At 52.7% G+C, this 24,108-nt stretch overlaps 1 protein-coding gene and 1 long non-coding RNA gene across 3 annotated transcripts in view, besides 2 other annotated features; one reads left to right on the top strand and one right to left on the bottom strand.

Annotated features, from left to right (window-relative positions):
* LRP1 (LDL receptor related protein 1) overlaps nucleotides 1-24,108 on the bottom strand; it is an 84,879-nt gene that overhangs the window by 52,479 nt on the left and 8,292 nt on the right. Inside the window, exons 2-12 of the mRNA NM_002332.3 lie at nucleotides 22,302-22,424; nucleotides 19,372-19,509; nucleotides 17,085-17,204; nucleotides 15,783-15,911; nucleotides 15,393-15,656; nucleotides 6,513-6,675; nucleotides 6,182-6,404; nucleotides 4,600-4,789; nucleotides 3,963-4,106; nucleotides 2,245-2,481; nucleotides 878-1,058 (exon numbers count right to left, since the gene is read on the bottom strand). Of these exons, the coding sequence (NP_002323.2) occupies nucleotides 878-1,058; nucleotides 2,245-2,481; nucleotides 3,963-4,106; nucleotides 4,600-4,789; nucleotides 6,182-6,404; nucleotides 6,513-6,675; nucleotides 15,393-15,656; nucleotides 15,783-15,911; nucleotides 17,085-17,204; nucleotides 19,372-19,509; nucleotides 22,302-22,424 (1,912 nt within the window). The remainder of the gene's footprint in view (nucleotides 1-877; nucleotides 1,059-2,244; nucleotides 2,482-3,962; nucleotides 4,107-4,599; nucleotides 4,790-6,181; nucleotides 6,405-6,512; nucleotides 6,676-15,392; nucleotides 15,657-15,782; nucleotides 15,912-17,084; nucleotides 17,205-19,371; nucleotides 19,510-22,301; nucleotides 22,425-24,108) is intronic.
* Nucleotides 10,937-11,864: an enhancer, noted in NCBI's record as "H3K4me1 hESC enhancer chr12:57542802-57543729 (GRCh37/hg19 assembly coordinates)". NCBI's record gives its function as "activates a minimal SCP1, AML or CMV promoter by ChIP-STARR-seq in primed H9 embryonic stem cells {active_cell/tissue: H9 hESC(primed)}" and the evidence as "EXISTENCE:reporter gene assay evidence [ECO:0000049][PMID:30033119]".
* Nucleotides 13,264-16,263, top strand: LRP1-AS (LRP1 antisense RNA). 2 transcript variants are annotated; one of them, NR_131938.2, is made up of 2 exons: nucleotides 13,264-13,444; nucleotides 15,800-16,263. It is a non-coding gene; the product is annotated as an LRP1 antisense RNA (long non-coding RNA). The 2 variants fall into 2 exon arrangements; NR_131939.2 differs by lacking the exon at nucleotides 15,800-16,263 and adding an exon at nucleotides 14,160-14,393.
* Nucleotides 13,722-14,650: an enhancer, noted in NCBI's record as "H3K27ac-H3K4me1 hESC enhancer chr12:57540016-57540944 (GRCh37/hg19 assembly coordinates)". NCBI's record gives its function as "activates a minimal SCP1, AML or CMV promoter by ChIP-STARR-seq in primed H9 embryonic stem cells {active_cell/tissue: H9 hESC(primed)}" and the evidence as "EXISTENCE:reporter gene assay evidence [ECO:0000049][PMID:30033119]".

The raw sequence follows: 24,108 nt of genomic DNA, 5'->3' as shown, positions 1-24,108 counted from the left end.
CGACTGGTCAGCATCACCTGGGCACCCCCGCCATCAACAGCCTCCCCTGTGATCCCAATCCATGAGTGCTGTCCCAGAGCTCCTCACAGGGGTCTCCTGTCCTGCTCATCACTGGACCACACATTTCATTCATTCACTCCATTCAACAAATATTTGTTGAGTGCCTGTAAGTTGGGCACAGTTTTGGCATTCATGGATGCAGTGGAGACCAAGGCAGCCAAGGTCCCTGCTCCCACGGAGCTCCCATCCCACAAGAAACAGGTCAATCAAGGTTACATGGAGAGCGATAAAGGCCAGGAGGGAAATAAAGCAGGGTGATGGGGTGGAGAGTGACCGGGCTGCAGGTGGGGGTGTCAGGGGAGTGATGGAGAAGGCCACCATGAGGAGGTGGCATGAGTGAGACTTGATGTAGAGAAGAAGCCAGTCCGGCAAATATCTGGGAGTTCCAGGCTGAGGAACTCCAAGAGCAAAAGCCCTGAGGCAGGAGGAGCCGGGGTGCTTGTTTGAGAAACAGACAGCAGGCAGTGGGGACAGAACTTCAAGTGTGGGAAGCGGGATGCAGATGAGGTCAGACAAGGGCCAGGCAGACACTGTGGGGCTGTGCAGGCCTGACAAGAACGTGGGCCTCATTCTCAGGGTAAGGGGAGCTGGTGGAAGGCCCTGAACTGGGAGTGACAGGATCAGATTTCTTCTATGTTTAAGGAATCACTCCCATTTCCCTGAAGACAGGGACTCCTTCTCCCCTTGCAGACTCTCATTCCTGCTAAAGTATCCCGCCTCACCTGCCTTCCCCTGCTTCCCTGTCCATTTCATCCTCCAGTTATCTGAGGCCCACACACTCCCAGCTCCTCCCACCCCAAGGCCTGGGAGGACTCACCCATTGAGTGGATCCACCACAATAGCCCTGGGGTGTGTCATTTTGCCCTCGATTAAAGTCTTGCGGGTCTGAGCAGCTTTCTCCAGCCTGGCCACGCTGATTGTCTTTTTGGGCCCATCGTCCGTCCAGTACAGATTGTCTCCCATCCAGTCCACGGCCACACCCTCCACATTGTGGATGCCTGTTGGGGGAAGAGGGACCAGTGATGAACAGCTTCAAAGGAAGTTCAAAGCTGCCTGCCTCTGGCCCTCCCGGACTCAGGTACCTTTGAGCAGTCTGGGCTACAGAGGGGTGCAGGGACCCTCTGGGGCCCTAGACAGATGGGTGGGGGTAGGGACAGGAGGCTGGAAAAGGAATAGGGGAAAGCCCTGTGTGCTGCCATTTGTATCAGGGCTAGCCTCTCAAAACCACACGTGGCAGATGGTAAACTACATGGCTGATGTGGGCTCTCGTGTGAGGGCATCTGGCCCGTGCCTGCATGGAGAGCTGAAACAACGGGCATGTGGCTCTGGGCACAAGTGTGACATCATATCCTAGGCCTAAAAATCCTGAACTAACAAAATGAATAAATTAGGAAGTGATTTTTCACTTAGCCAAAGCCTTCACTCCAAGTGTCCTTTAAATAGCAGTTCCCTTGGTATAGGGACCCCTAATCTTTTCCTGATGAGTTACTTTTGATTTCCCCAAAGTCTTGTGATATGATTGCTGACTGTTGATTTTCTCTGAACTACAGTGTGGATGGGGTGCAGGGCAAAGGTTATAACTGGCATCCACCAGATTGATGGGGAGGCGGCCTGATCCTGAGGCCCAAGTGCAGATTTGGGGCAGAACTCGTACAGCTCAGAATCCTTCACATAGACATTAAAAAGACAATGCACTGTGAACCTGCCCAAGCAGCTCAGAGGGAAGACCTGGATGCAACTCACAAAACACAATTTTCTCAGGACACATTAGCATGCAGTTTTTGGCGACTGCAAGGTCAGCTGCACAGACCCTGTGTGCGCACATACATGTGGGTGTGCCCTGTTTTGATCTGGCAGGCCTGTCTCCAATTCAAGACCTCAGTTGTCCCCTGGCTGTGTGCTGTGTGCAGCTCCAGGGCTCTAAGCCAATGCAGACAGACCCTGAGTTTTCCCAAGGGCTGGCAAGGACGGCCCATGCTGCCTAACCCATCCTAACCCTGCCTCTTTGGCTCAGCCAAGAAGGGGGTCACACAGGGGTCAATCTGTCTATCCCCTCATCTCCATGCCAACCAGTGCAGCCAGCCAGTCAGCAGGGGACCATCCTGCTGAGAGGGCACCGAGAAACAGATGCCTGGGCCCCAGCCCCCTTCCATCCCCATGGGCCACATCCCTAGGAGCCCATACCGTCCTTCAGGATGGTCTCCCGCTCAGTGCCATCAATCTTCTGGCGGCCAATGAGGTAGCTGGTGGTGTCGGCAAAGTAGATGAAGCCGGTCTCAGCGTGGAAGTCCAGGGCTCGGGGGTTCATGAGGTTTTCAATGGGGATCATGTGCTCATCCGGGACCTTGGCCCCCATATCCATGCCCCGGATGATGCCTGGCCGGCCCTTGCCATACACGAGGAACAGCTCATGCTCCGGCTCTAGAGCAGGCACAAGCCAGGGTACAGTCAGACACACACATGACCATCATCCCCACCCAGGGGCTGCGGCCAAGGGGCTGCAATGCCCTAGCTGTGATGGGTCAGGAGACGTTAGGGATGCGAGGCTCTGGGTCAGATGGACAGACCACGCACACGCTAACATACAGGACGATGGGTCCTGGCCGCAATACCCTGGGGTCTGACCTCTGCACTCCAAGGGTAGGAAATGAGGGAAGAATAGCAGGTTTTCAGCTAAGTGCCCACTGATCAGTCATGAAATCAGTGGTATAAAAGGAGTACCTTCAAAATATGTTGGAGTCACATCACTGTTTACCACTTCCTCTGCTGCCATCCTAGTGTAAACCACATCACTTCTTGCCCACTACACTGAAAGTCTTCTGGCTACTTCCCTACTGCCCATCCCCCACCCAGTAGCAGCGTGACTTTTATACAAATGTGAATCCAATCATGTCACTTCCATTCTCAAAAGTCACTATGAGCTTCCTATCCCAGATATAATAAAATCCAACCCCTGCCTCCTTCTCTGCCCTCACACCACTCAGCCCCGCTGGCCTTCGTGCTGTTCCTCTGGCTTGCCACACTCACACTGGCCTCAGGGCCTTTGCACTGTTGATTTCCTCTGCCGGACATGCTCCTCCCTCAGGGAGTTACATGGTTGCCCTCTTCATTTCACAGAGAGCTTGGCTCAAACACCACATCCTCAGAGAGGCCCTTGCTCTCCTCATTAACTCTATTCTCTGCTTTATTTATTCATTTATTTTTAATTTTTTGAGATGAAGTCTCGCTCTGTCATCCAGGCTGGAGTGTGGTAGCGCCATCTCAGCTCACTGCAACCTCCACCTCCCAGGTTCAAGTGATTCTCCTGTCTCAGCCTCCCCAATAGCTGGGATTATAGGCACGCACCATCACACCCAGCTAATTTTTGTATTTTCAGTAGAGACGGGGTTTCACCATGTTGGCCAGCCTGGTGTGGAACGCCTCACCTCAAGTGATCTGCCTGCCTCGGCCTCCCAAAGTGCTGAGATTACAGGCATAAGCCACCACGCCTGACTATTCTCTGTTTTATTTTCTTCATAACCACTTATTACCACCTAAAGTTACATTTATTTGTTTCCCCAACTAGACTATAAGCTCCATGAGGCCAGGGACAACATCTATCTCGTTCGCTGCTTAATCCTGATGACCAGAACAGTGCCAAACATGTAGTGAGTGCTCACTGCTCACTAGACACTTGCTGAATGAATCAGTTTAGTTTTCTGCAGAGTCCGGTGGGTGAGTGAGAAAAGCACTTTTTTCGAATATGGATTCAAGTCCCATCTCTGCCCTCACTAGCAGGTACACTCTGGGACACTTCCTTCATCTCCCTGCATGTCAGACAGAGGCAGCCGGGCTGTGGGGGACACCTGAGGAACCCTCCCGCAGCCTCCCAATGGGCACACACCCCCTTCCCTGTCACTCACTCTTGCATGACTTCCCGTCACTGCCCAGGCTGAAGCCGGAACGGCAGCGGCAGGTCCGCGCCTTGTGGCTGTTGGCCAGCAGGCAGATGTCAGAGCAGCCACCCGGCTTCCCATACTGGTCGTTTTCACAGGCATGGCTCCTCACTGGGGGCAGGGTGAAGAGCTGTTAGGACCCCTCAGAGCCCCTGTGCCAGGCCTTGAGAAGGCTTCCTGAATCTGACCACACCCCCTGCTGCTGTGGTCTTTGTGCTTGCTATCCCATTTTAGGATTTGGAAGCCACAGGGGTGGAAACCCTCTGCCCCCCAACAACCCAGCCTTCAAACTCTTGGAGTGGGGGCTTCAGTAGTCAGGGAAGAGAGTTCCAGGGTTGCCCATGGCCAGGTGCTACTGCTCCAGACTGGCAAGGGGAATGGGAGGGACAGAGTGGGATCTGGAGGCTGAGTGGGTGGATGGGGGCTGGCAGGGGAAGCTGAGGGGCCAGGGCAGGTAGCCCGAGTGGCTGGCTAGGAGAATCGGTCATGACATGAAAGAAGCCAGGGTCCCCACAGGAGGGCCCAGAGAGGGGCTGTGATCCCAAGGTCCCAGAGCCATCATGGGGTAAAGCCAGCTTTGGAGGGGCCATGGAGCCCTGCTCACCTCGGGGCTGACGCCTCTGGTGGTAGATGTGGAGGGCACCACCCTTGTCCACCCGGGTGACAACCTGGTACTCGGTGCTGTTAAAGCGGTTCACACGGATCACACTCGTCTTCTGCTGGGCATTGGCATTGTCCGAGTTGGTGGCATAGAGATAATTCTCAAACACAGTCAGGCCGTACAGGTGCTCAATCTGAGACGGGCAGGCAAGAATGGACAGCATGAGATGACAGGGGTTCCTCCCTCTGTCCTGGAGATCCCCTCAGCTTCCTCCAGACTTCATGACCTGCATTCCCCAATTCATCCTGTAGTTTTTAATTTTTATTTATTTATTTTGAGACGGGACCTCACTCTGTCACCCAGGCTGAAGTGCAATGGCACGATCACGGCTCACTGCAGTCTCCACCTCCTGGGCTTAAGCGGCCCTCCTGCTTCAGCCTCCTGAGTAGTTGGGACTACAGGAACATACCACCACACCTGGCTAATTAAAACAAATTTTGTGTAGAGATGGGGTTTCCCTATGTTGCTCAGGCTGGTCTCGACCTCCGAGGCTCAAGCACTTCTCCTGCCTCAGCCTCCCAAAGTGCTGGGATTACAGGTGTGGGCTACCGTGCCTGGCCCCACCATTTTTTAACTCAATGCTTTACTCCTGTCTCCTCTGGCTGGACTAACCTATTCTGAAGATTTTTGCTTACCAAGATCCCACTCATCCTCTACAGAGCATGTCTTTAAAGAATTTATGGAATCTTCTAACCAGAGATGTTTTCTCCTTCTATACATCCTCCGTGACACTGCTATCTATCCGTGTCTGGCACAGTGATTTGTGGACTTATCTCACCCACTCTACTCAGACCCCTTGAGGGCAGAAACCCTGTCCTTCACAGAATTAGGCACTCGTTAGACACTTTAGTGATTTTAGACTGAATTAGAGATGGGCTCTAAACTCTGTCCACAGAGGACATTCTTAGTCTGTTATGAGGGCTAAGAGGACACACTTGCCCCAAGCAAGTCCTGTAACACCCCTGACTACCCACATAGCTTATCTGCGGTGGCCAACTGTCCTAGTTTGCCTAAGACAAAGGTAAGGGTTTGCTGGCTTACCAGACTTTCAGGGCTAAAACTGGGACAGTCCTAGGCAAACTGGGCTGGTTGCTCACACTAATTATCCCACAATGGAGATGCCACCTCTGAGCCAGCAAGGCTTCTAGAACAAGTTCCAGTGCTATCACCCGGCTTTGTAAACACAGGCAAATCACCTAACCTCTTTGATCCTGCTTTTTCATCTGCTGAAAGGGAACTGAACCACCTCCCTGTTCATCAGCTAGGGGTTATTATAAGGGTCAAATGAGAAACAGGAAGTAAACAGAAGTGGTGTTTCTAAAATGACTGTTCCCATCACAGTGGAACCCGTATCTTGTCCTTTCTCTGCAGTATTCAAGCCCACCCCACTCCCACTAGAGGCCTGGGGCATCCACGCTCTTTACCAGGAGACTCAGAGAACGGTTCCCCTACAGAGGCTTCCCCCCTCACCAGAAGGCCCTGGATCATGGTTCCCCCACAAAACCTCAGACAGTAGCTCCCTCACCAGGATGCCCTGGATGATGGTCTGGCGGCCCTTGCCCTCATAGTCCACCACTTCAATATAGTCCAGATAGGCATCTGCCCAGTAGACAAGGCGGCTGACCAGGTCCAGCGTGATGCCATGAGGAAACACAATCTTGCTGTCGACGAGCTTGGTGCGGTTCTGCCCATCCATGTCACAGCGTTCCACCTTTGGGATCTGCCCATAGTCAGTGAAAAACACCTTCCTGTGGGAAGATGCATGTTAAATGGGGTCTGGACATTGGGCACCCTCCTTACCACTGTAGCCTCAGCCTCCCACCTTCCAGGGCCAGAACCCCGCCTGCCACTCTCACCCCATGGCAGGGTCCAGGGCAATGCCCTTGGGGTTGTAGAGTTCCAGGTCTAGCAATGTGACACATGTGTCCCCATTTCTGTTGCAGACAAAGATCCTATCATCGATGTCATCCACAAAGTAGAAGTTGCCTGTCAGCCAGTCGATGGCCATCTGTTCCACGTCTGGAGAGTACGAATGAAAGAGCCATGGGGTGGGGTAGGCCCTCTTGCAGAGATGCCCACCCTTTGCTGGTGAGAACCCACACCTGGAAGCCCACCTTCTCTGGACGCCCTCCCACCCAACACCCCCATGCTTAGCTCAGAGTGGATATACAGGAGGGCTTGCGTAAATGCTGGCTGGCTGGTTGACTGACAGACTTCCCAATTCTAGCCCATCCTTGAAAAGGGACCATCTTCTTGGGGCACCAAAAGGTAGAGAGCACAGGTCCACTAGCTCAGTCCAGTTTTTTTTTTTTTTTAACTTTGCTTTTACTTGGGATAAGAGCACTGAGGCTACCAAAACATTACACATCTTTGCTTTTCACTGGACTTTTATCTACCATCTACAGTAAATCTAGTTATCTCATGCTAACCAGAAGCACTGACTGGAAGCTGGACATATGGCATAAATTTTTAAAGTGGAAAAGCAGGGTACACGCTAATAAACCCAGTTTGGGAGAAAAGTATTTCAAAATATGAACTCTACAGAGATGCCAAAGGGAAGATCCATGGGGGCAAAAGGTTGGGCACCAGTGACATGGGCCAAACTTCCTCTACTCAGCCCCAGTCCCCTGTTCCTGCAATGTCCTTATTGCTCAATGTCCTCATGTCCTGGGGAGGGTCAGAAGAGGTGGGGAATAAGTCATAGGGCTGGAGGAGAGAGAGTCTAGGAGGAGGGCCATGAAAGAATCCTCAGGGCAAACTGAGGCATGGCTCAGAAAGAGATGGGGCTTAAGGATGATGGGAGTGGGGGAAGGAGATGGAGCCCAGCTGCCTAGACTCAGTTTCAGGCATGGTTCTGGAGGAGATGGAAGAAGCCAAGAAGAGCCAAAGGAAAGAGAGGCAGGGCAAGGGTGGCCGGAAGTCAAGGAGGCAGGAAGTCTGGGGACAGGGACACATGCTGGCCTCCTCTGGGCTCCTCCTCTCCAGGACCACTGGCTTCCTTCCATCTACTCACTACCCCCTTCAACTACCACCATCAGAGATGGTGCCTCTTGCAAACTGGGAAACTCCTAAGGCAGTGACTTTCTGGGACCCCTGCCTGGAACTCCATCTCCAACAGTTTCCCCAACAAGTAAAGAAATCTTTGGGCTACCTGCTTTGGGCTGAAACTCATCCTCCATTACCCATACTCAACCCAGTAGGGATTCTTCTGCCCCCACACAGCTACAGGTATAATGACTTGCTGTTCTGCTTGACCCCTCCCTAATTCCCCCTCCTCCCCACAGGGATTCAGGGGCTGCTCCCTAACAGTGGGTGAGGGTGGGGTGGGGGCAAAAAGAACAGGAACGCCGCTCTCAAGGAACTTGGCTGGGCCCTGACACTGACTCAGAGTCACAGGACAGGAAGGGAAGGAGCCAACTGAGGGCTTCATCAAACTAGTTTCTTCTTCAGGTCCTCTCTGCTAAATCCCATCCCAATGCCTGGAGAACAAGGCCACAGAGACGAGGTATTACCCCCGTAAGTATTCATGCATCCCCAAGCCCAGCCACTCTTTCCTCTGGGCCCCCAGTACTGTCCCATCCTCACAAGATTGGAGAGAGGGGGAAGAGTAGCTTGAGGAGGCCAAGGCCCTGTAGGAAGAGGGCCTAGTGCAGGGGTAAGGCAACCAAATTCTTTGCCCCACACGCTGTAACCACAGAGAAAACAGATTCAAATGAATGCTGCTGGGCTGCCTCCAAAGGAAATCGAAGTCTCAAAGCAGGGACCTGCCTGCATCCCCTGGCAGCCAGCAGGGTGGCTGGAAGTCAAACAGGGCTGCGTGCCCTTTACTTGGTGGGCACGGCAGGGGTCTGGGGGCTGCTGGCATGTGTATGAACTTCATCAGTGAAAGCTGTTTTCCCAGCACCAGCTGGCGCAGCTACGGCCGGCCTTCTCTCCGACTTCCTGAGGCTTCCCTGAGTCACTGCCCAGCCCTAGGGCTGGCAATACCCTGCCCCTGCTCCCCCTATCCACCCTTCTCTTGGCAAGAGAGAGAAGGAAGAAACCTGCAGAGATCTGATGCCGCTATCCCAGGTGCAGCTCCACAATCAGCCCCCCCAGCCTCAGGATGTGGCCTGGATTCCCTCCCAATTCCGGGAAGGAAGGCAGAGAGATCATCCCTGCTCTCAGATATTTACCCTTGGCCGGTCTCCCTTCCACCTCCCCAAAGGCCAGGCAGGGCCCCACTCAGCAGGCCGGTGAGGAGTTGGCAAGAACTGGAGTCCTCGGCCTGCCTGGCCTCCCCTTTGGTATTTTTGCAGCTGGAGACTATTAGTTGCAAGCAAAAATCCTTTGTTATCCAACCCCCTGCACCACATTATTTTTCTCTCTCCTAAAGTTCAGATTCCTCTGCCTGCCCCACCACACACACACGCACATACGCACGTATGCACACACAAATGCACGCACAATCACACACACACACATACACTTGGCCACCACTCCAAGGCCAGTGTAGAGAGATGGGCTCAAAGGGAGAGGAGGAACCTTGCCTCCAGGGCTGCCCTATAGGCAGTATCTGGGCCACCCCTCTCTGTCTTATGAATTGGGGTCCAGGTGGAGTCCTGGGCTTCAGCCCAGAGATCCTGAGCATTCTGGCTCCACCAACCCTGAGGGGAGCCGTCCCCTTGTCGCCCAGCCTTCTAAGGGCCAACCACCTGAGCGCACCTTCTGAAGAGGCTCTGGCCAAAGGCCGAAAATCCTGAGGACAGGAGAATCTCAAATAAACCAAAGGGGAGAGAGGGAGGCTGTGTTGTGGAAGGAGTTGGGGGTGGTCTAGGGGCAGAGGGGCAGGGGATTCCAGCATGAAGAGGGAGGCTAGGAAGCAGGGAAGAGGTGCAGGAGTCAGACGAGAGACCACAGCTGCCCATTATGGCACAGAGGACTTTCAGTTCCAGGCCCCAGAATAGACCTGGTGTCCTGGCACCCCATCCCACTGCTCAGCATCTGCACTCACTACAACTCCAGCTTTTCTCAACTTCTCCATCATTCCCATTGTTCAAGAGGCATTTCCATACATGGTGGCTGCTTTCCCAAACACATGGGACCCACCCCATGCCCAAAAAGACTCTAGCTTCAGCTGCAGGATTCTAGTCACCTGCTCTAAAATAAGGAAATCGGAAGGAAGGAAGAAGCCTTTATGTCCTGAGAAAATGTCACCCAACACATCTACACACCCAAGAGTGTATACACATCCAAAGAGGTCCCTGGACCTCTATCCACATCCCCAGGGAGCACACTAGATTCTGGCCCTTGTTCCAGGAACCTCCCCACCTCTCCTCATATCATTCTGCTCTGCCCTGGGTCCAACTGGGCCCTAGACACTGACAGCCTGAGTTTGAATTCTGGTTCTGTCACCTTCCAACTGAGGCTATGAGCAAGTTACTTAATGCCTCTGAGTCTCTGTTTCCTCATTTGTAAAACTGGATGGTACACTAACTGCACTTAGCATGAGGCCTGGTGCATGATAAACACTCCCCACATGGGGGCTGCGGTTCCCACCATGTCCTCCCCTCCCTGAACCCATCCTTTCCCACCTTTTCCACCAAGTCGCCCTCTGTGCCTCCAGCCAGAGCCCTGTGGCCTCCTGACTCTAGGTGGGCCCTCCAGGTGGGCCATTTGGGGCTAACACCTACTACTCGTCAAGACTCGGCTCAGGCTCCCAGAAGGAAGCTTGCCCTATTAGAAGGAAGTTTTCAAGGCCAGGCTCAGTGGCTCACGCCTGTAATCCCAGCACTCTGGGAGGCTGAAGCAGGTGGATCATGAGGCCAGGAGATCGAGACCATCCTGGCTAACATGGTAAAACTCTGTCTCTACTAAAAACACAAAAAATTAGCCAGGCGTGGTGGCGGGCACCTGTAGTCCTAGCTACTCGGGAGCCTGAGGCAGAAGAATGGCGTGAACCCGGGAGGCAGAGCTTGCAGTGAGCCAAGATTGCATCACTGCACTCCAGCCTGGGCGACAGAGTGAGACTCCATCTCAAAAAAAAAAAAAAAAAAAAGAAGGAAGTTTTCCTGTTACAGGCTCCATAGGCCTCTGGAGCTTCTTTGATCATGGCCTCTTCACCTGACTGCAAATACTGTAAGGAGAGCGCTGCCTTTTGTCTTTGTCTCAGGCGTCTGACACACATGTATTGATCCATTGAACAAATATTTATTGAAGACTGAGTCTGTTGTTCTAGAGCTGGGACATCATTTTCCCCCTCTCTTCTACTGCCAGGATCCTGCCTCTCTGGCCTTGGGACACTCCAAGACAGTGGGAGAGGACAGTCTGTCTAGTAATCCTACTCAGGGATCTCGCCTGGGCCTGGGAGAGATGGCGGAGAGTCTGAGGACTTCGAAGGTGGGAAGGAGACCTCCTGGCGAGCCTGGCAGAAGCTCTGCTAAACGATGTGGCCTCATGCTCCTTGTTTCCTGCTGGGTCCCGACTTCAGCTCTTCCTTCCACCAGCCAGTCTGGAGCTTAGCCGTGTTGTGTCACCTCGTTCTCCTGGGCTCTCTTCCTGCTCCTGCCTGTGATTCCAGCCTGTGGTTATGTCCTGCTACCTTCCCCTGCCTGGCTTAGGTCCCCAAGAGGCATTTCGACCTAGATCCCAGGGATGATGCCTGGATTCCACTCAGCCCATCTTAGGGTCTTCCCTCTATTGAGAAATCCTTGCCGGGCTCTAAAACACATCTCTCTTGCTTAAGTTACTTCCTTTGGCTTGAAAACAGCAAGGGGAGTGCTGGGAGCAGTCTGGGTGGAGAGGCAATTTCAAGGAGACAGCGGGGGAGGAGAGGACAGGGCTGGATCTGGGCCGGGAGACACAGGGCTGGCCCGGGCCAGGAGAGAGGAGGAGCAAGAGTGAGCTGTTAAATGATTAGGAAACTCAGAACAGGAATGGGAAGCAAAAGTGCCAGGATGCAGGGGGCCTAAGGCCAAAGAGTGGGGTGGCTAGAGCCACCCCTCCCCAAACAGCCTGGCATCCCATGGGTCAGAAAGGCCAAGGATGGGCATGGTTAGCTTTCACATGTGAAGTCTGGAAGTGCTTTGTAGGCAGGGTGGGAGGCTGAGAGGGTCCAGGGGTGCCCAGCACAGTGGGGAGGTAGCACCCCTTCCAGCAGCAGCAGCCAGTTCATTAGACTCAGAGGGACTGCTGTCTGCCCCTTCTTTGCCTCCCCTCTAGACAAATCACTACCCCATTTCCTGTTGTGATTTCGAAAACACACACACTAAAAAAATAAATAAATAAAAGAAAGGGAGAGGAAGGGAAAAGTGAAGTTGGCCAGCTGGACCTGGGACCCATTTCGCAACCTTGCTGCCTGCAGCCTAGGGGCCCTTTGCTGAGCTCCCCAGCCACCTCCTTCTTCCCCATGCAGCATGGTGCAGGGAGGGGAACCCTGAGACCTCTGAGAGCCCCTTCAGACCATCCTTTCACACACAGTCCAAACTCCTGAGTGACTTCAGCAAACCCGATTTCCTTCAAGGCCTCTATTTACAACCTCAGAACCTCCCCTCACCATACACACCCATGTTCCCAGGACCCCAATCTTGCAGTCTGCCTCATTCTTTCTACAGTGGTGGCATCCTCCAAGGTGAAGGGAATACAGATCAGAGGAGCTCAGCTTAGGAAATGCAGGGCTGGGCTGGGGTCGGTAGACTGCACCACCAGGCCTGCCCAGGGGCAGCCTGGCAGGAGGCTGGACAAAGCTGGGTTACAGGCTCCATAGGCCTCTGGAGCTGAGAGACTGGTCAGAGGTGGGGGTGAGAGTGCGCAGGCCTGGTTCCTGACTAAGGGACTATCAGGCCTGTTGATCCCTCTGGGCCTCAATTTTCAGAACTTTAGTCTTTTGTGTATCACTTTCAAAATGTCTACCATGCTTATGTACAGCTTGCGCTACTGTTTATTACCAGTTATTTCAATTAACTTACTTTTCTTATTTCGCTGCATGCTAAACAATTGCTGAAGTAACAGATTTGATGTGCTAGTTACAGGAGTTTCCTAATGCATATCAAATAAAAACGTAACTATAACAGTTAAAAAAAAAAAAAAAAAGCTTGTCCAGGTACCATCTAAAATCAAATCAATGCATAGCCCCTTTGAGAAAGCAGTAGTGAAAGCCAGGGCTGCTCTTGGTACTGGCCAAGGGTCTTGCCTTCTCTTCCGGCTCTCACCATGGAGTTCTCTGGTCTTGGAATTCGAGCCTCATAGACCTCCCCAAACCACTGGGCCAGCGGCAGAGGGGAGGGGGAGGTAATCTCAGGTGGGAGGAAAAGAGATGACCCACCCAATCCAGGGGGATAACACTGGGCCTGAGGCAGGAGGGTCAGCAGCCCTGGGGCATTGAAGAGGAATGTTCACACACTGCAGGGCCTCAGGGGGGCCCTCGGGGGCTCTCAGGACTCCACAACAGGTCTGACTCACATGGCCCAGGACACATGTGAACCAGGCTCATTTCCTGGCCTCCTTCCTTCTTTCTATTCTATTTCTGCTTCCAGAGTTTTCTCTGGGGCAGGCTCCCCCTTCTGCCTGCACCAGCGGGCTGGCCTCGCTGGCTCGAACACCCCTCAATTGTCAGACTCCTCCCTCTGTGTGCACCCCTGCTGCATGAGGCTCAGCCCCAGGGGTCCAACAGAGGTCACAGTCACAGCACAGAATGGAAGGCTTGCAGGGAGGGCTGCCCTGGAGGGCAGAGTGAAAGCAGGGGAAAGCTGCAGCCTTTCTTCTTCGTCCTCCTTGGGGAGCTAATTACAGGCCAGCAGCCACTGTGCAGGTGAGTGCCTGGGACCAGCCACCCTACACACCAGGGCAGGCCAGTCAGCATCTCCTGGGGAGGGGGATGACCCAGAAACTGGGGGAGGGGCTAGGGGAGAGACACTGACGTCCTCAGTTTGGGACCCATAATTAGTTTGTGGGAGAGAGCAAAACAACCATCCTCAGGGTGACAGCCAGACATTCAGGCGGCAGGGACGTGGAGCAGGGGGAGGGCAGGGAGGAAGGGACAGAAGCTGGGATGAGAGAAACCCACTCATTTACCCCACAAGCATTTCCCCTTGGACTCTTCTAGCCTCCTGGACTCTGCCCCTGAGAGGCCCAGTGAGTTTAGCAGACTGGGAGGCAAGGCAAATCTGTTTGCCAAGGGAGGGGTACCAGCTTCTCCTGGGGAGGAAGTCAGATAAGGAGATGAGGCCAGAGTAGAAGTTGAGAAGGTTACCTCCAGGACACCCCATAGCCACCTACCCAGAAGCCCACTGTATGGCAAGATGCAGGGCTGGGGAGGAAACTGACAAGCTGTCTGCCCAGACAGGCCTGTTGAGTAGGTCAGTGGACAAGGAACAGGGGGAGGGCAGCTGCACAAGAGGGTCTAGCACCAATCCCACCCCATCAGCCATGGGGTTCCCTGAGTCGCCCACTCGTTAAGAGCTCAGCCAACCAGGCTTGACAGCCCCCAGCTCAGCACCCCAAGGAGGACACATGTCTGATCACAGGTGAGCTGTGGACAGCAGCAGCCCAAGGACGCTATCAGGGATGCTCTGGAGGAGCCAAAGGCAGAAATGTGAACCTTACGCTGAGGCCACGGAGAGTGAGGGCTCTCAGAGGAACCCCTGCTCGCCACCATCCCGGGGAGGGGCCTTTCTCTCTCCCAGAATGAATCCCTTGTAACCTCCTGGGATCTTTCTTTTCATCACAAGAACCAAATAAAGAAACTTGAAGATCTTCTAGAGAGGCCCAAGGTTCACAATCCTCAACTTCAAAGTGTGCTGTCCTTTACCACTGGCTTTCACTCCAGTTAATCTGATCTAGACAGACAAGCTCAAACCCATTATGCAGATTAGGAAACCAAGGCAGAGATGGGAATTCTGGTTTACTAAACAGTTACAGATCAAGTTAATCTCCCTTAGGGGGTCAGATCAACCACAGGCCAGATTCTTCCTCTCAGCCCTGTGGTGCATTTCTTTGGAAATGTGATGCTGCCAGATGTTGACTTTTAAGGTTGCTGGTGTAACAGCCTCTGAGATGGGCAGGGCTGTTCCCGGCAGTGGGTCTACACCCAGCTATGCTCGTGCCCCTTTCTGTGACACCCCTTCTTCCACAACTAGGATAGCAAAAGTGTAGCCTAGGGAGAAGCCTGAATGGAAGCATCCAGGATATTCTAAAATCTCATGTGGCTCACGCTCCTCTCCCAGCCTCATTCACTGCCACAAAGCCACAGAGAAATAACCTCAGTACTGCCCTCCCCCGATGGCAGCAGAGAGTCCATTGGCAATGGTCCCCGAGGGAAACGATGGCCCATGGAGACAGAGCAGCTGGGCCCCAGCTCCTTTACCCTCAGCTGCAGCCTAACAGGGCACCTCAGGCTTCCGCTCCTTCTTTCCCTAGCCTTGGCTCCCACTGCACCGGAAAGTCCCTCTGCAGTCTAGTCAACACTCCCCTCTCAGAGAAGGGACAGTCCCTGGTCTCTGGAGATTGACCATTCACTGCCCCCTCAGCCCTTGGCCAGAAATGCAGGGGCCATCCAGACACTTGCTCAGAGAGCTGGGAGGGAGCGTGCCGGTGGCTCTGCCCCTGCCTCAAACACACACCATTGTATCCAGCCTCCTGCTTCTCCTGCCCCAGACAGGACCATCCTGTGTAACTCCCGGCCTCTGTTCAAGATAGGGTCCACCTTCCCTGTCTCCCCTACCCTCCCCAGCCCTCCAAGCTGAGAGCAGGTGACTCACGGTGCAGACTGAGGGAGATGTTGATGGTGTGCTCATCCACGAAGCCCTTTAGGCCAGGCATGCGGGCACACTTGAGCTGCGTCTGAGCAGCACTGTCCCCAACATGCACCCAGCATACGGTCTCGTTGGCATAGCTGAAGTCCATGGCTGTGGTCTGCCGCGTGCTCGTAGGTGTGATGGTAGACACCTGGGCCCCACTCAGGTACGTGGCCAAGATGTTCTGGGAGTTGGCTATCAACAGCACAGGGGGCCGGTCTACTGGCTCTGGGAATGGGGAAGAGAAGAGTCCGTGCAGCCAGGGCTCTAGGACCACCTCTCAGGCCACCACCCACCAGGGAACAGCATTGAGGGGGCTTAGTTAGCACTGTGGCCAGAGGCAACCCCACCCACCGTTCTTGGCCTTGCAGGAGCGGTTATCCGGCTGCAGGAGGTATCCTTCAACACAGCCACATATGAAGGAGCCGTCTGTGTTGGTGCATAGCTGGCTGCAGGTGCCGTACACTGAGCACTCATCAAAATCTGCCGAGGAAAGGGCAAGAATGTGGTCATTTCCAGTGTGACAAGGGCAACGAAGTGGGTGATCATCAGACATGATCAACATGTCCATCCTTACAGCTACCTTGAAGGACAGTTCGGCAGAATCTATTACAGCATGAAATGTGCAAACCTTAACACCCAGCAAGTCCAGTCTTGGAATCCACTCTAGAGAAACACTCGTGTACATATCACTCATCCACGCAGGGAAGATTTATTGAGTCCCTACTATGGGTCAGGTGCCAGGGGTGCATCAGTGAACTTTAAAATAGACCCACATTGCTGTCCTCATGAAACTTATATTCAGATAATAAATGAAATATAGTTACTATAATAACATATGAAACAAAGTAAATAAAGTATACATTAGAGGTGCTAGTGCAATGAAAAGAGAACAGGGATAGAGAATGCAGATGGCAGGGATGCAGTTTTAGAGGGGTCGGGGGACGGCTTCACTGAGAAGGTGGCATTTGCACAAAGACCCGAGGGAGGCAAATTTAAAACAGAAAAGTTTGCATTGCTTGTAGCAGTGAAAAATTGGGAACATCTCACTCATCAACAGGGAGGTGACCAAGTAAACTGTGGTAAAAGTCATACGTCATAGTGGTTTCTAAAAGAATGATGTAGATCTTTACATATTAACACAGAAAAAAAAATTGTGGAACATACTGATGAGTGAAAAACATTGAAAATAATATACACAGTATACTATTGTTTATGTAAAAAAGAGCACGCAGTACTCTTGAGCAGTACTTCCAATTAGATTTTCTGTGAATACCCAGAGACAAATGCACAAAAAAGGGCCTGAAAGAGAGAGAGCAAACTGATAATAGAGTTGAACTCCAGGGAGATGGGAAGGGGACCGGAATTGAGGGGGATTTGTCAAAGGGGACTTTGGTTTTATCTGTTAATGCTCTAATTTTTTACAACAGAAAAATTTACATATAAACTATAATTTTAAGGTGAATTTTTAGAAGTCTAGTGGAAGCAAATGGTTAGGGCTCACAGTCATGCCCTGGGGTGGTGGCACCCCCTCTCTTGCACCTTCCTTCTAGTTTCTTATTCCAGCCAGGCCCCCTACCCCTCTCTGCCCCTCCCTGCCCACCTCAACTGGCTACTGGCACACACACATGCACACAGGCACATGCACTCACATACCTTTGCAGGTCTTGCCATCTGCCTGAAGCTGAAAGCTGCTGTTGCAGTAGCAGGTGGGCCCATCGAGTGTGGGGACACAATGGTGCTGGCAGCCCAGGCGAGAGCAGTTGCCTTGGAGCTCTGTGTGGGGGCAGGAGAGACACATATTCAGGCCGCCAGATCTGGCAGCTCCACGCAGGCCACAACCTTCCCCTAAACCCAGTCAACCTTCAGAAACCACTTCTAAGGGCTGCAGTGTCAGAGACAGAAGGGCCTTAGGAAGCATCTACCATATTTCACAAGTGAAGAAACTGAAGCCCAGAGAGGCTATAAGACAAGCCCAAGGTCACACAGCCAGTGATGGCTTAGAACCCACATGTCTCTGTTCTGGATGTTCTGGGCTACCTCTGTCCCCATGGAGAGGGGTTCTGGCACTTTGTTGGGGTCAACAGGAAGAGGGGATGGTGAGTCTTATCCCTTTGATATGCCTCTCATCTACACTGCCTGGGGATTACAATGTTGGCTTCAGCTGGGGCTGAAAAGTGGGCATGGAATCGTGTCTGTCCCCACAGGATCCCAGCTCTGGCCTGGAAGCACCTGTCTAACCCATCCCCGGAGCCCTAGAGGCCTCAGAGAGAAGGCCTAAGGCCCAGGTAGAGGACAGGAAGGAGGAGCAAAACTGGTCCCCTCTGGATTCTTTTCTAATCTTTCTCCTGCCACTGACCCACTTCCACAGGGGAGACAGAAGGGAATGAGACAGGAGGGGGGAGAGGTGGGAGAGCAGTTGCCCCCCCAGACCAGCGACCCAGTTAATGGCCTTGCGTGGGGCCAGGCAGCCTGGCCACAAAGACCCCTTTGTCCAGCGGCCTCACACCCTGGCTTCCCACTCCACCCCCACCTAGGAGAGAGAGCCGCCCAAGATGCTAAGACGTTTAGAGGCACTAAGCCTGCCAGGAAGAGTTGGGATGGGGGGCCAGGCCCCAGCGATTCTTTCTCCTCCCCACTTCCACCCGAGAGCCATTCATGCTGCCTGCCCAGCCTTTCTCCACAGAGGGGGAAAATATCATTTGCTCTGGAAAACCTAGAAAAGAGTAACTTTTCTGGATATAGGGTGAGGGAATGAGGAGGCCGATTTCTGTAATATCAGAGAAGGAAATTCAGACCTGAGGTTTTTGAAGTTCTCTGTTGTTTTAGAGACTGTAAAGGTACTCAAAAGGAAGTAAGCTTGAACACACACCACACGAGAGGAAGGGGTGCGCGTGGTCATTTAAGTCAGCCCCCAGGCCCGCATTCTGCATCCCGTCCCAGGAGCTTCAGATGAAAACATGCAAAATCAACCAAAGAAAGGGAGAAAAATCTTCCACAAACTCCTTTGCTCCATCCTCCCTGCTCCTAGTGAACAGGATCCAGATGAGTCTCCTCCCACAGACAGATGTTTTCTCAGGCACACAGCACAGGACACTGCCCCCACACCCAAGCACAGCCCCTCCCCTAGGGCTACGCTCATGGCCTCTCAAAGCTGGCCTCTTGCTCCGGGCCCAGACCCCGAAGAAAAGAGAAGGGAGAAGCCACTATTCCCTAACACGCAGGCTTGAGGCTCTGCCTCCCCGGACACGACTCTTAAATGCTCACGCTGTGACCGGACTCTCCATGGCCCACAGGGCCCTTTGGGGGAAAGACTGTAGAGCTGGTGACCTGAGCCACAGGCTGGAAGCAGTCTGACTTGTCATCCTAATGTTCCCACCTCGGCCTGGATGGCTTTCCTATCAACCACCTCAGACAGTCTAGACTGTCAGAGAGGGAGGGACCAAGGCAGATTTAGGGCCCCTCAAAGATCTGCAGCTCCTGGGGGATGCCTTCTAGGGCACCCGTAGGGGCGGCAGGTGGACTAAACTAGATGGCTAAGCTTTAGTCACAGCACCTCTGCTCCTCCCTGTGTTCACACTCAGGTTTCATGCAGAAAACCTTTTGAAGAAAGGATCATACTATTTTTAAAAAAGTATGAAAACACTGATCTCTCATCTTACAGAAGAAAAACTGCCACCTGGAGAGAGGTAGTGACTAGTCCAAGAACACATAGCCAGAGGGAAGTGCCCAGGCTACAGCCCACGGCTGAGGCCCACAGGGCTGTCTGACCAAGCTCCAGGCCCAAGGGGCACATCAATTTCATCTGCTCTCTGAAGGTAAATCTAGGCAGGGGACCAGGACAAGGCCTCATCCCCACTGAAGGTGCCAGGACAGTCCTCGGAAGGTGGGCTGATAATATGCTGCATCCAGACGGGAGAGTAGAGAGTGGAAAAGTCCTTACCTCGGCAGTGGGGCCCCTCATCTGAGCCGTCCATGCAGTCCTGGACCCCATTGCAGAGGCGGGACATGGGAACACACAGCTCAGTACCCAGGCAGTTATGCTCGTTTGGCTGGCATCGCTGGGCCTTACTCTGTGGACCTGAGGGCAGACAGAAGGGTGGGCATGAACAAGCTGGCTATGGTGGCTCTCTGGTCAGCTGTTCACTGGGGATGAGGGGAGATAAAACTGGGGTTTCAGATCTCAGGAGGCCTCGGGGCTAGTTAGACTCTTCCACCTGGAACTCTTTTACAATATTCCCCACAGTAGCCACACACCTGTAGGCAAACAGGTGGAGGTAGAAACTAGGCCTTCAGTAGAGTCCACCCTCCAAATGCCCCATTCCCATGGACCCCAGTGCCTCAACATTCTATGCTCAGGAGACAGGCTGAAGACAGCCTGGTTTTTGATGACGACTGAGGTCAGTAAAAGGTTTTGATGATGCCGGGAGTGATGGCTCACACCTATAATCCTAGCACTTTGGGAGGCTGAGGCGGGCAGATCACTTGAGGTCAGGAGTTCAAGATGAGCCTGGCCAACATGGTGAAACCCCGTCTCTACTAAAAATGCAAAAAATTAGCCAGGCATGGTGGCATGCACCTGTAGTCCCAGCTACTCGGGAGGCTGAGGCAGGAGAATCGCTTGAACCCAGGAGGCAGAAGTTGCAGTGAGCTGAGATTGCACCACTGCACTCCAGCGTGGGCGACAGAGCGAGATCTGTCTCAAAACAAACAAACAAAAAAAAAGGTTTTGATGAGCTGAGGGAAGCAGGGTCCATGGCAGAGAAACTCCAATGATAAAGAAAAACTCCTTCCCATAGCTCCCAGGTTGCAGAACCCAGGGCCAAGAGTGGTGCCAAATCTTCTAGACCTTCACTGCCCAATACGTAGCCCAGTCACATGTGGCTATCAAGCACTTGAAAGGCGGCAAGTTCAAACTGTAAGTATAAAATGTACACTGGATTTTGATGACTTAATGTCAGAAAAATGCAAAAGATCTCTAAAGGTTTTATATGAATACACTGTACTAAAGTGATAATATTTTGGATCCATTGGATAAAATATTCAAATTCATTTCATCTGTTCATTTTTACCTTTTTTAAGTGGCTACTCGAAAATTTCAAAATAGCACATGTGGCTTGCAATACATTTCTATTGGACAGCACTATTCTAGACTTCCAACCCCACAGCAACAAGCCTGATAGAAGGATTTGGGAAGAATCAAAGGTTGTGGTCTGGCCAGGCATGGTGGCTCACGCCTATAGTCCCAGAACTCTGGGAAGCTGTGTCAGGAGGATCACTTGAGGTCAGGAGTTTGAGATCAGCCAAGGCAACATAGTGAGATCCCACCTTTCAAAAAAAGAAAAAAAAAAAGGTTGTGGCCAACTGGTCATATCATCTCTGCAACTTCCTTTGTTGCTCAAGAGGATGGATGAGATAGAGAGACCACTGTCTATTGGCCCCCAAGCCTGGACACGGTGTGTGAGTGACAGTGTCTATGACCCATGTGTGCCTGGATGGGAGTCTGCTTACACAACTGATGGTGTGGCTGTATAGCATGCAGCGGTAGGTAGTGAGAGTGTATCTGTGTGTCTTTCTGTATGCTGGTGTATCTGGCCTCAGTGAGTTTCCATGTGAATCAATCTGGGTTTGTGTGTGTGTGTCTCTATGTTGGTATGTGTGTCTGGGGACATCTCTCTGAGTATAGAGTGTGTTTCTGCATCCACATTTGAGTGTGACTCTGTGTTACTGTGAGAATGTGTTTGTGCCTTTGGGTGGGAGGTGGGCTCATCAGTGCCAGGTGGGTCTGTGTGTGATGTTATGAGTCCGGGGGGTATGAGTGTGAACAGAGTGGTAATGCATATAAGGTGAGGTTTACAGCAAATTGAAGGAAGAATGAACAAAAAGAGGCAGATCTGACCCTTCTGCATGGCTTTCTTTACTTCTAACGCCCAAGCATCAGGGTCAAAAGTGTGGGGGTGCAGGTGGCACCAGACAAGAAGAGACTCCAGGCTGAAGCACCATGCCGTAGATATACTTGCTGAATACCCCTGGCCCCCACCCTCCAGGGCAGAGTGTAGGGGTGAGGCAGAGCCCACTAGTGGCTCCCTTTCCAGCCCTAAAATTACCCCTGATAATTACGGGTGGGGGTGTGGGGACAGGACACCAGATGGGACTGGAGCAGGATAAAGCCCAAGAGAGAGAACAGAGACGGACCTAGGAATGCAGGGGCGCTTTGACCCTGGCCCAGATTAACCAAGCAGGGGAGAGGCTAAAAGTGGAGCCACCAGGACTGTGCCAGCTACCCAGGACTCTGGGGTCCCACCAACAAGTTCTCCACTTCCCTTGGCAGGGCAAAAGCTGGGCGGGGACCTTTCTCCCAGTTAAAACAGCTGCCTCCGATTACACCACTTACTGGGGGCAGGGGAAGGCGGGGGTAGCGGGAAGAGCACAGGGGTGGGGCTTCTGGTATGGGGCTGAGCAAGTGCCAGTGGCCTCTGGCCTGGGAGCCAAAGGACAGAGGAAGATCTGAGGATCCGACAAGACCTGGGGCCAATCATCAAGGGTCAGGGAGGCTGAGAGGTGGAATAAGGGAAGAGCTGGAAGGAAAGGGAGGCCGGGCCATCTTCTAGCAAAGCTGTCAGCCCAGAGAACACTGTCTTGGGGTGCAGCACTTGAGGGAGAAATCTGAGGTGCCATTTCTAAGCCCAACAGGCACCATGCCAAGCATTTTGAAGGGGTGTAAAGGACAGTTTTAGCTGTGTCATGGACAAATACAATCACTGAGCAAGGTCCACATCAGGCTAGGGATCAGCTGTCCTCCTCCCAAACATCTGCCAAAGGAAGAGGGATAAGTTAAGGGTTTGGGGAGAAGAATCCAGAAAAGGTACTTACAAATCTCAGGGGCCTCGTCAGATCCGTCTGGGCAGTCCCTCTCACCGTCGCACCGCCAGCCCTTTGAGATACAGGTTATTTGATCTCTGCAGGCAAACTGCTTGGGGCTGCAAGTCTTAGGGGCTAGGGCAAGGAAAGAAAAGGGGATATAAATGAAGGATGGAGGCCAACTCTGTGAACCCAAAGTCCCCTAGTACTGCTCTTCCTTCCCTAGCATCAGTCTCCATCTGGCCCAGACCCTCAGCCATGGTCTATGTGCCTGGGGGTGTCAGGGGGTGGCTTTGGGTAGTTCCTAGACACTGTGTATCTGCGGTGGGGGTGGGGAGGATCCAGAAGCACATTTTACTGCACCCCTCCAAGTCCTCTAGGCTGCCTGTTCCTGGGAGTCAGGGTCAAAGCCTTTGCTATTCTTGGTTACTCTCATCAGACACCAGCACCCCCTGGCTTTGATGACAGAGTGATGGTGAAGGGGGGTGCATTTAGGCCTTGACATGTTTTCTCTTTGTCTTCCTCTAACTCCTACTACTAGAGGCCCCGAGCTGGTCTTATCTAACCTCTCTGCTTCCCTGCCTTCTGGGACACTCCTGGTCCCCTGACCCATCACCCCATCCTTCCCAACCCCTAATCACTAGGCCCCCAGATGGGAGCAGTGGGGAGGGATGCCCTTGGCACACACAGTAGTAGTTGGAGATGGTATTAGCAGAGGCACAGGAGGGCAAGGCTGGGCAGGAATGGGCAGGGTAGAGAGCCTTGCTTCCATTTCCATTCCCTATTTTTTTTTTTTTTGAGACAAGGTCTCACTCTGTCCCCCAGGCTGGAGTGCAGTGGCACAATCTCAGCTCACCGCAACCTCCACCTCCTGGGCCCAGGCGATTCTCCTGCCTCGGCCTCCCCAGTGGCTGGAACTACAGACATGCATCACCATGTCCAGCTAGTTTTTGTATTTTTAGTAGAGACGGGGTTTCACCATGTTGGCCATGCTGGTCTCAAACTCCTGACCTCAGGTGATCCACCTGCCTTGTCCTCTCCATTCTCTAAAGACACAGCCTCCCTTGGTTAGACCTCAGGGAGACTTTCAGTAGACATCCTTAGAGTTAAGAAGCACCTAAAGATTTTCAAGATATCAGAATTGGGGAGCAGAGGCAGGGGGATGGCTGAAATGAACTCTAGGAACTGGTTTCAGTCCAGTCCAACTAGTTAGCTACTATATTCAGGACCTCTTGGCCCTACCCTCCCACCCCAATCAGGCTTCTTCCACTCCTACCCCATTCTCTTCCCTCATCCCCCAAGGAGGAATTAAGAATGGTGACAACTAACTCTGTTGTTTTTTTTTTTTTTTTGAGACAGAGTTTTGCTCTTGTTGCCCAGGCTGGAGTGCAATGGCACGATCTTGGCTCACTGCAACCCCTGCCTCCCGGGTTCAAGTGATTCTTCTGCCTCAGCCTCCAGAGTAGCTGGGATTACAGGCATGCGCCACCACGCATGGCTAATTTTGTATTTTTAGTAGAGACGGGGTTTCTCCATGTTGGTCAGGCTGGTCTCGAACTCCCAACCTCATCTGATACATCCATCTCAGCCTCCCAAAGTGCTGGGATTACAGGCGTGAGCCACCGCACCCGGCTGACAACTAACTCTTATTGTGGGCTCAGTATGTGCCAGGAACTGTGGTAAAGCAGTTTTTTCCATGTATCATCATATTTAATTCCCTCCACAGTATGACAAATAGGGACAACTAATACCACCATTTCACAGATGAAGAAATTGAGCCAGGTGACTTGGCCAGGGTCAAATAGCTGGCAAGTGACAA

The sequence above is a fragment of the Homo sapiens genome, chromosome 12 (genome assembly GCF_000001405.40).
Source record: "Homo sapiens chromosome 12, GRCh38.p14 Primary Assembly".
Lineage (NCBI taxonomy): Eukaryota > Metazoa > Chordata > Mammalia > Primates > Hominidae > Homo > Homo sapiens.
This window is presented reverse-complemented; position numbering and strand designations above follow the sequence as displayed.